Source organism: Homo sapiens, chromosome 2 (genome assembly GCF_000001405.40).
Source record: "Homo sapiens chromosome 2, GRCh38.p14 Primary Assembly".
NCBI lineage: Eukaryota > Metazoa > Chordata > Mammalia > Primates > Hominidae > Homo > Homo sapiens.
The window spans coordinates 64,833,126-64,844,594 of NC_000002.12; the positions used below are offsets into that span (position 1 = coordinate 64,833,126).

At 43.1% G+C, this 11,469-nt stretch overlaps 2 annotated features.

Annotated features, from left to right (window-relative positions):
* Positions 5,221–6,420: an enhancer, noted in NCBI's record as "P300/CBP strongly-dependent group 1 enhancer chr2:65065480-65066679 (GRCh37/hg19 assembly coordinates)". NCBI's record gives its function as "activates an origin of replication core promoter dependent on BRD2, BRD4, P300/CBP, MED14 and CDK7 cofactors, with strong dependence on P300/CBP, by STARR-seq in HCT116 cells {active_cell/tissue: HCT116}" and the evidence as "EXISTENCE:reporter gene assay evidence [ECO:0000049][PMID:35650434]".
* Positions 6,997–7,046: an enhancer, noted in NCBI's record as "active region_15909". NCBI's record gives its function as "activates an Ori minimal core promoter by ATAC-STARR-seq in GM12878 lymphoblastoid cells {active_cell/tissue: GM12878}" and the evidence as "EXISTENCE:reporter gene assay evidence [ECO:0000049][PMID:35858748]".

The following is an 11,469-nucleotide window of genomic DNA, read 5'->3' on the forward strand; positions in this document are numbered from 1 at the left end:
CAGTACATAATCTCATGTAATCTTCTCAGCAGCTCCATAAGGCAAGCACATGATGATCTCCAGTTTATAAGTGAGGAAACTGAAGCACAGAAAACTTAAGACACCTGACCAAATGCACAAAGCTAATAAGTGGCAGAGCCAGGACTCAAACCTAGATATGTCTGACTCCAAAACTGTGAATCTTAACAATCACACTGATGTCTTTACAGCAAATACAGGTCAAAGCATAGAAGAACAGTCTTGGCTAGAGCTACAAATTCAGGAGTTGTCAAGATTTGATAATACAGTACAACAAAAGTAACTTGGAGGGGGGGAAGATTTGCTTATAGTTGAAACCATAGTTATCAATTAAAAACTTCCAAGATATGTGTGCAGTTGAGAAAGAGAGAGGGAGGAAATGCCAATATTTACAGTGCAGAGGAGAGAAGCCCTAAGAGAAAACTGAGCAGGAGCAGGCAGAGATGGGAAGGGAATTAGGGAAGCGATATCAAGGGAAGAGAGCAGGCTCCAAGGAGATGGGTTGATCAGCAGGACCACAGTGAGAAGACAGCCCATGGCCTCAGTCCATTAATGGGTCCTTGGAGAACCCAGCAAGAGCAGAAATAGGGGCAGAGTTGAAGGGAGAGTTAGGAACAGACTGCAAATGAGACTTACATTGCAGGTAGCTTGTTGGTGAAGGGATAGGAAAAGGGTGATAGCTAGAGATGGATGCAGAGGAAGGGATAGGGGTCTGGATTTCTGGTGATTGCTTTGGAATGGAGAAAGCCTTCCTTCTAAGAAACAGGAGAGAAGATGTGTTCTGAGAATGCAGGAAGGTGAAGGAGTTGATGGCCAATAGATTCTATTTTCTCCATGAAATTGTTAGTCAGCTGTGACAGGAGTTGGGTGGGAGCTGGGTAGGCAGTTTGAGAGCCCTGGTGAAGACATTTTTAAAGGCTAGTCAAGTGAAGCAGTGAGAGTGGAGCAGGAACAAAGGAATCGGTAACTGCTTGTGATCAATTAGTTGTAAACATCACTACATTCCAGCCAGCCCCTGGTGAAGATTTAAAACCACCACTGAGGTGAAGGGGGCTAATGTTGCCAGGGTGACCAGGACTGGGCAACAGGACTGCCAAATAGGGGTGCGCTGCAGTGGAGATTGGAGCCACACATTGATAATGGCCACTGATCACCTTGTTGGGTGCTTTTCCCAGCAGCCTCACCAGCAAAAGATAGGGTCCCCCATAATCCCAGTTTACCCAGCACAATCCCCATTTTAGCAGTGAAAGGCTGGAATCCCAGGAAGTCCCTCAGTCCCAGACAAACCTGGACAACAGTTTATTATCCTAGCTCAGGGTGGGAGCAGCAAAGGCAGAGTTGGATTGGTCCATGGCTGGGGATTTCATGGGAGAATGTGCTGGGGGGATGGGAGGACTGAGGCTTTGGAGGGAGCTGGCAAGAGAAGTGTGAAGGTGAACTACTATGCTATAGGATTCTATAATGACATGAAAGACAGTAAGGAGAGCAAATAGTCAATAGAACTGGAGAAACAGGAAAGGCCATGGAACTAGAGCTTCCAATGAGTTCACTAGAGAATGGACTTAATGGGGAAAAAGGATTTCAAGAGACAGGAGAAAAGCAATGAGGATGATTTGGGCTGCGAGTAACAGAAAACCCTGACTCCAACTAGCTTAAATGATACAGAAATGTATTATATCACATAATAGAATGGGTAGGTTTCAGGGTGGTTGATTCAGTGGCTCAACAATATAATCAGATAATCATGTTCTTTTCATCTCTCTGCTTGGCTACCTTAATTGGTGACTGTATCTTCAGTCTAGTGGCAAAACGGCCACCTCCAGATATGACAATGTCCAGAGTAAAAATAAAAATCATCTTGCCTGGTTCATGTCAAAGGGGGCGGGGAAAGAAAAGACCATCTCTTTCTTGAGTTCCTCTTAGGAACAAGGACATTTTTTTCAGGAGTCCCCTAGTGGACTTCCCATCAGCTCTCATGGGCTAGAAGTGAGTCATACTCATTCTAGCACCAGCCATTGGCAAGATAGACCAATCAGACCCACTCTGGAGCATGGGGTGGGACCGGCTTTTCTTTCTTTTTTTTTTTTTTTTTGAGACAGAGCCTCACTCTGTCATCCAGGCTGGAGTGCAGTGGCGTGATCTTGGCTCACTGCAGCCTCTGCCTCCTAGGTTCCAGCGATTCTCCTGCCTCAACCTCCCTGGTAGCTGGGATTACAGGCATGTGCGACTACACCTGGCTAATTTTTGTATTTTTAATAGAGACGGGGTTTCACCACATTGGCCAAGCTGGGCTCGAACTCCTGACCTCAGGCGATCGGCCTCCTCGGCCTCCCAAAGCGCTGAGATTACAGGCATGAGCCACCGCAGGGTGGGGCCGGCTTTTCTTAGGGCACATGGCAGAATAGTGGGGGAGTAGATCTTGAACAACATTGGAGTTCTGTTAGAAAGGAGTCAGGAATTGTTGCTGAGTGTAAAGTAAACAGTGTTCATCACAGAGGCAACACTGAGCAACTGGGATGTGAACACTATCATAAAAACTATTCAATTTTAGTTTTTTACCTGCTCAAATTGTTCATTTGTTCTCTGCTGCCTATGGGATACATTACATAATTATTAGTTCTAACCAATATTGAGGTAAACCTCTGTCATTTCTTCATAAAACTCCTCTGCTCTGGCCAAGCAGGTCAAGTCTAGAACACACCTTGTATTTTCAAACCTCCTTGACTTTCCCTGTTCTTGGAATGTCTACCCATCTCCCCGCTGCCCCACCTTCTAATAGATAGCCAGATCCTACCCATCCATCAGGCGCTGACCCAAACCCAATTGCTTAGTCTATAACCACATTATATTAATGCCCCAGAGAAGCTTCAAGACCTTCCAGCCCAGGATCATCTCTCTTCAGGCATCTCCCTGCGTAGTTGCAGCTCCTTGAGAGCGGATCCTGTTTTACACTTCTCAGGGGTCCTCTCCACTCCCAACACAATGACTGATGCACACAACGGATGCTCACTAAGTACTTGCTGACTGGCAGGTTAATCAATAAATGCTCACAGACTGAGGAGTGAGTATAACCACCCGCTTTTGAAGCTGCAGACTGGCTCTCAGGAGAAAAAGTCCAGAGGAAGGATGGGAGGGAGTCTGGCTCTGAAACACAGAGGCGCTGCTGGGCAACCCTGGGATGTCCAAGTGGGAGACAAGAGAGATGACAAAAAGCTGAAAGGCACATAAATGACCACCCTCAAACGGACAGGTTAAATGACGTACGATAACCCATTGACTGTCTTCTAAGATGCACGTTTAGTATCATCTCTGCTGGGCGAGTGCTGTTGCTCCATCCCCATCATAGGCAATTGTTATCCCAACCTTTAAGGTAGGGATCCCTGGTGGGGAGGGAAATGAGCAAAGATCCTTGGAAGGTGCCCTCCCTGCAAAAGTCGCCCTTCTCTGTCCTGGGAGGAGTGGGAGGGGAGGGAGAGGAGAGGTTTTTATTCTTAAAGGCAGCTCAGCCTCCAGAGGTCTGCCGTTCCCTGGATAATACTAGATTTACAAAGAGCCTGAAAGATCCCCAGGATTCGGGATCAACTCTGAGTTTCACAAGTGTTTATTTTGAGGGATTAGCCGTCCTGGGCAGGCCTGTTTGTCTAATGGTTAATCAACCAGTCAGCAAACATTTATTGAGGGCCTGCTTACTGGGCACCAAAACAAGCATAGGAGAGAGTCCCCTATTTTGAGGCATTCAGAAGGGTAATTGAGGCCCTGAAGTTAACTAACACCTGCAACAACTAGCAAATGATATGACATCATAACGTGTGCCTCAGACTGCCCTGGTCTTCCCGGCACCACCCCCTCCAAATTCTACTCAGACTTCACCACCCTGGCCCCTGGGGTACAAGCGTGGTTCAGGCTAAGCCAGAGTCCCTCGCTGAGATGTTACCTCTAAAGCCATCAGCCAGGAGAGGAAAAGTGGCTTCCATTGGTTACAAGGTTGTAAGGGGAGAACTAGGAGTGCCCCAAGGCCATATTCTGGCCTTAGTGGGCAGCCAGCTTGAGAGAAAGAAAGAGAAAACCATGCTGAAGAAAGCCAGGCAGGGACAGATGGACAGATAGAGTTTAAGTCGCTGGCCTGCCAGGGCTCCCCAGGGCCAGCTCTAGTGTGGCACTTTCCTCAGAGCAGTTACATGAGACAATATAGTCCCTCCCTTTTCCTTTTAGCTAGGGTGGGTCCTGTCCCCACCTGTGTAGGCAGAGGAGCCCTGAGCAATGAGCACACTGCACTTATTCAGCGGCAGCTGAAGTGATTCAGGAGGATGGCCTTGAAGGTTGTGGAGGAGAGAGAGCATCCAGGGCGAAGACGACGACGTGAAAGAAGGCTCTAGGGGCTGGGCATTGTGACTCACGCCTGTAATCCCAGCAGTTTGGGAGGCTGAGGTGGGTGGATCACTTGAAGTCAGGAGTTCGTGAACAGCCTGGCCAACATGGTGAAACCCTGTCTCTACTAAAAAAAGAAAAATTAGCCGGGTGTGGTGGGCGCCTGTAACCCCAGCACTTTGGGAGGCTGAGGTGGGTGGATCACTTGAAGTCAGGAGTTCGTGAACAGCCTGATCAACATGGTGAAACCCTGTCTCTACTAAAAACACAAAAATTAGCCGGGTGTGGTGGTGGGTGCCTGTAATCCCAGCTACTCAGGAGACTGAGGCAGGAGGATCACTTGAACCGGGGAGGCAGAGGTTGCAGAGAGTTGAGATCGCGCCACTGCACTCCAGCCTGGGCAAAGAGAGCGAGATTCCATCTCAAAAAAAAAAAAAAAAAAAGAAAAAAAAGAAAAGAAAAGAAGGGAAAGGGAGGAAAGGGAAAGGAAAAGGAAGCAGGCTCTAGGGACATGACAGCCCTGGAGGGTGGGTCTGACGGTCGGGAGTGCATGTGGAGGCTGGGAGCAAGCTGGGCAGAGTGCCCTGGGTGAATCTGCTCTCCAGGGGTTCCTGGGAGCTTTGGCTTCTGCCTGACTTCTGGGTTTAGCAGGAGCCCACACTGACGGTCCCCGGACGCACACACAGGCCTCCAGCACACTTCCTCTCCATTTATTATATAAAGCAGAACTGGCACTGCACACTCAGACTATGCTGTAGGTACCCAGGGATGCCATCCTGGAGCAGGCTTTAGTTAATGTTTACATTTTGTCCACATTCCCCTCCAACCCATTCTACTCTCCTCTTCTTCCCGCTAACCCTCGGCTTTTCTTATTCTTCCCCATTTTTTTTTTTTTTTTTTTTAGAATCAACACCTCCCTCTGTCACCCAGGCTGGAAGTGCAATGGTGTGATCATAGCTCACTGCAACCTCAAACTCCTGGCCTCAAGCCATCCGCCTACCTCAGCTCCCAAGTAGCTTGGGATTACAGGTGTGAGCCACATCACTGTGCTCCCCATTGTTAATATGTTGAGACTCTTACTCTGGGAGGAGGAGTGGCAACTAAAGGACCCCAAATCTCTACTTCTTGGGACCTGTATTTGACACTCCATCCAGCAGCTTCTGAATTTCACACCTGATAAAAGCAGGGGTTCTGGATGTTCTCACGGCAACCCCAATTTACACCCAAGAAGGGGCCTTCTGGGTGGCCACCTGGATCCTGGGTGCTTTTCCCTGGGCAGTGTTTATGCCAAAGGCCTGCTTGCAGCCTGGATCTGCTGTGCCCTGAGCCCGCCCTCCTCCCCTCCGCGCCCCACCCCACCCCAGAAGAGCCTCTGCTCTTCCTGCCCTTCTCCTTCCTGCTGCGCCAAGGTGGAGCCCAGCTGCCTCCGCACCCAGCCCTCTGTGACTCAGTGGAAGCCAGTGGCCACTTCCCCCTCCCACCCACCCACACTCACATTCCAACGGCCAGCTCACTTGCTTCTTGGCACTCAAACTGCACCCACCAGGCCTCTGACTAAATAGTCATCTCTTTACGGGACAATTTATGACCAGGGCCAGCCCAGTATGGGAAGAGGTCACGTGTATCTTACCCTCTGAGCACACTCCTTTTGCTCCACAGCTAATGACTGACCTCTGTGGATCTTTCCTTCTGGCCCCTGGCTGACCTGGGGCATTTTATTTAGGAGAACTAGAGTCTTAGCCTTTAGTGTTGTACCTAACACAGTGCTGACTCAATGCATCTTTGAATAAAAGAGGTTTAAAAAAAAATTACTGGCCAGGTGCTGTGGCTCACGCCTGTAATCCCAGCACTTTGGGAGGCTGAGGCGGGTGGATCACCTGAGCTCAGGAGTTCGAGATCAGCCTGGCCAACATGGAGAAACCCCATCTCTACTAAAAGTACAAAAAGATTAGCTGGGCGTGGTGGTGGGAGCCTGTAATCCCAGCTACTTGGGAGGCTGAGGCAGAAGAATTGCTTGAACCTGAGGAGCAGAGGTTGCAGTGAGCTGAGATCATGCCACTGCACTCTAGCCTGGGTGACAGAGCAGGTCTCCATCTCCAAAAAAAAAAAAAAAATTACAAATAAATAGAGAGTAATTCCCCAGGACCTGACAGATCCTACTATTTTGGTAAGGACTCAAGGACTCATTTAGGCCACACCTGGGAAGTTGGGTGGTTTAAAGTGGAGTTAGTGACACCTGGGTTGAAGCCCCAGCTCTGCCGCTCTAAGATCTCAAGCACATTTTATGACCCACCTAAGCCTCCATTCCTCACCTGTGTACTGGGGATGATATCGTGTATTTCATCAATTCTAGGATGTGCAGCTTTTTGCATCTTAATCTCTCTGAAATTGGGCTATGTCTTACAGTTGATATGGGGGTAGGAGATGGTGTATTCCCACTCCTAGATCGACTGTAGTGCCTCTAGGAGTGCCCTGCCAGAGAAGCCCACACTCCACCTCCTGAGCCAGGGTGGCCATATGACTTGTCCTGGCCAATGGAGTGTGAAGCAAGCAACATCTATCACATCCGGGCTGCACTTTCAAAGGCAACTGTCGTTCAGCTCATGCTCCTTTTCATCCACGTCAGCAGCCAGCAAAGTTCCAGATGGAGGCTGTTTCGTGGGCCCTGTCCCACAGTAAAGAGGATGTAGAGCTGAGCTGCAGCTGGTGGGCATTGAACAGAAGCATAAACCTTTCTTCTTTAGCCATTGAGATTGGGGTTCTGTGTTTTGACAGCACAGTCTAGCATATCCTGACTGGTATTTCATGCTCCAGTTAATTGACAGATTCCTTTTTCTTTCTTAATACATAGTGGTGTAACTCACAATTGTTGGTATTGTTGATTCAATGAAACACGGTAGTGCCTCTTACAGACTAATGTAGGTAAATCACTTAGCACAATGCCTGGCCCACAGTAAGTGTTCCATTCATGTTAGCCATTGTTCTATTTCTAGCCCTCTGCATGTAGCCAATGTTTAATACATGCTTGGAGGATGATACTGATGACACATGAGATCAGAACCCCCCTTAGATCCCTTGTGGCATGAGAAAGAGTATCGTAAAAGACAAAATTACAACAAATTTAGTTTAAAGATCTCAACAAGCTTTGTTGCAATTCTAAAATTGGGCAACACTTCGTTCCATAAAACAGAATAAGTGTCCAATGAACTGAGGAGAAGAGGCTGGCTTTACAGACAGAAAAGGCTGAAGAAAGCAAAAACAAAGAACAAAAAGCAGATTGATCATTTCAAAGTTACTTGCCTTGTAAGGCGGGACAGGGAGATGGAAGAGTAGAAAAATCACTGATCAGTGAACCTTGTGTTACTTCGGGCTAACTTTTGCATGTAAGGATTAAGGCAGAGGAAACTTCATTATCGTGCCAACTGAAGATTGAAACTGGCCTGTTTGGAAAATTGGCTGTTACCTTATTTCTCAGAAGGTCAGATAACTTAGTTTTAGTCTGGTGAAATGGAATTTTGGCATGCGTGACTCTAATTTTTTTTTTTTTTGAGACGGAGTTTCGTTCTTGTTGCCCAGGTTGGAGTGCAACGGCACACTCTCAGCTCACTGCAGCCTCCGCTTCCTGGGTTCAAGTGATTCTCCTGCCTCAGTCTCCCAAGTAGCTGGGATTACAAGCATGCACCACCACGCCCAGCTTGTAGAGATGAGATTTCTCCATGTTGGTCAGGCTGGTCTGGAACTCTTGACCTCAGGTGATCTGCCCGCCTCAGCCTCCCAAAGTGCTGGGATTACAGGTGTGAGCCACCGCGCCCAGCCAGCGTGACTCTATTTTTAGTCTTGTCTGTTGGGGCCTAGTGCAGGAGCTTAGTCCAAAACAATGGCCTCCTGCAATTTTTATTTAACAGTATAGATAAGTTCAAGTAAATAAAGTGGCATTGGCACTTGATTTTGGAGGCTCTTTGAGGGTATAGGTGTTTCTGATGCCCTTTCTGAAAGCTTTTTCAGGGGCTACTCGTTTAGGTAGGTAACTAAGAAAGCTGAGTTTTTATTCATATTAGTTAACAGTTTATTGCCTAGGATATGAGAAAGAGGAAGAAACAACTCAAGTGTGATGTGGCAAGTTTTTGGTGCAACAGAATAAAGAAACCACAGTCTCTTAGAGCAAAATATAAGCATCTTGAATTTTTGCAGAATCAAGTATGGGCCACAGATCCTGCTCTGAAGATACCATACTTCCAGCTAATTCTTGACCTTCTGTGTTAAACCCCGTGCTCTGGAACAAATCTCTCCAGGAATTTTATAGCCAGCCCCTGCAGACCCAAAAGTAGGGAGAGTGTTCTACATGCTGGGCTGGGCTCAGGTGCTGTGAGGGCAGACTTGCCAGAGCCACTTCCCATCCCTTTGGCATCCTCTCCCCTGAACCTCATATTACCTGTCTGTCTCCTCCTTTACTTCCTCCACTTGGGAAGATGACAAAAGTAATTTATCCTAAAGTATTATTGGTGTATGCATTACTTAAAGGGGAACCTAGAAAATGAAAAAGGAAATCACAGGACTGTATGTTAGGTTATGTTAGGGATCTGTTACGTTTCTCATCTCTGCTACCTGCGTCCACCTCAATCTTTTCTCTCAGCAGACAGCTCTCTTCACTCAGCTGTCAGCTTGCACATGGTCTCATAAAATGGCTGCCCTAAAATGGTGGCCCCCGCACCTCGTGACTATGTGACTTTCAAGTCTAGCACCAACTAGCTAGACTTTCTGTGGCCTCCAGTTCCTGAGAGGGAGGATCTGGCTTCATGTAGCCTACAGATGATTCCACTGGGGTCAGTTGACCATATCTGGCTCAGTCAGTCATGGTGCTGCTACTATTGGGCCAGTTAGTTTCTCTTAAAGACCAGGATGTTTGGTGTATTACGCAGGATTTGTTGAGCTGCATGTGGCAGAATATTCAAAACAATAGCAGCTTAAAAATACAAATTTCTGGCCGGGTGTGGTGGCTCATGCCTGTAATCCCAGCACTTTGGGAGGCTGAGGTGGGTGGATCACCTGAGGTCAGGAGTTTGAGACAAGCCTGGCCAACATGGTGAAACTCCATTTCTACTAAAAATACAAAAATACAAAAATCAGCCGGGTGTGGTGGCAGGCCCCTGTAATCACAGCTACTCGGGAGGCTGAGGCCAGAGAATTGCTTGAACCCAGGAGACGGAGGTTGCAGTGAGCAGAGACTCCGCCACTGCACTCCAGCCTGGGTGACAAGAGTGAAACTCCATCTCTCTCTCTCTCTCTCTCTCTAACATATAAACATATATTATATGTAACATATAAACATATATTATATGTAACATATAAACATATATTATATGTAACATATAAACATATATTATATGTAACATATAAACATATTATATGTAACATATAATATATAATATATAAACATATATTTTATATATTATATGTTACATATAATATATAATATATAAACATATATTATATATTATATGTAACATATAATATATAATATATAAACATATATTTTATATATAATATATAAACATATTTTATATATAATATATAAACATATTTTATATATAATATATAAACATATATTTTATATATAATATATAAACATATTTTATATATAATATATAAACATATATTTTATATAATATATAAACATATAATATATATAATATATAAAAGTATATAATATAAATATATATAATATAAACATATATAATATAAATATATATAAAATATAAACATATGTAATATATAAACATATATTATATATAATATATAAACATATATTATACGTACAATATATAAACATATATTGTACGTACAATATATAAACATATATTATACGTACAATATATAAACATATATTATACGTACAATATATAAACATATATTATACGTACAATATATAAACATATATTATACGTACAATATATAAACATATATTATACGTACAATATATAAACATATATTATACGTACAATATATAAACATATATTATACGTACAATATATAAACATATATTATACGTACAATATATAAACATATATTATACGTACAATAAACATATATTATACGTACAATATATAAACATATATTATACGTACAATATATAAACATATATTATACGTACAATATATAAACATATATTGTACGTACAATATATAAACATATATTATATGTATAATATATAAACATATAATATATAATATATATTATATATATGTTTATTATATATGTTTATATATTATATATAACATATATTATTATATTATATATGTTTATATATTATATATTATATAATATATATGTTTATATATTATATATTATATAATATATATGTTTATATATTATATATTATATAATATATATGTTTATATATTATATATTATATAATATATATGTTTATATATTATATATTATATAATATATATGTTTATATATTATATATTATATAATATATATGTTTATATATTATATATTATATAATATATATGTTTATATATTATATATTATATAATATATATGTTTATATATTATATAAATAATAAACTTACATATTTTATTAAGTATAATATATAAATATAATATAACTTACATATTATATTTTATATATATATAAACATAAATTTTTTTCTTTCTCATATAAGAGGCGAGCAGTCCAGGACTGGTACAGTGGCCCCTTGATCACTATCTGGGTATGCAGCTTCTATCCTCAAGGTCACCTCATGATCCAAGATGGCTGCTGAAGTTCCAGTCGTTACATCACATGGAGTTGCAGGCTGGAAGGAGGAAAGAAAGACAAAAGCTCCTCCACTCCCTGCTGTCATCTCCCATGAAGCCCCCAGAACACTTGCACTTGTCTCATTGCTAGGACCTAGTCACATAGGTTGTGCACACTTAGCTCTAAGAAAGTCTGAGAAATGAAGGGTTTTTTTTTAGCAAGACACATTGTCACCCAGAATATAATCAGGGTCCTTCCACCAAAACAAAGAATGGAGAATGGGTATTGAGGGATGCTCAGAGTCTAAGCCAGAGTTGGGAGGAAATAACAGACACTTCCAA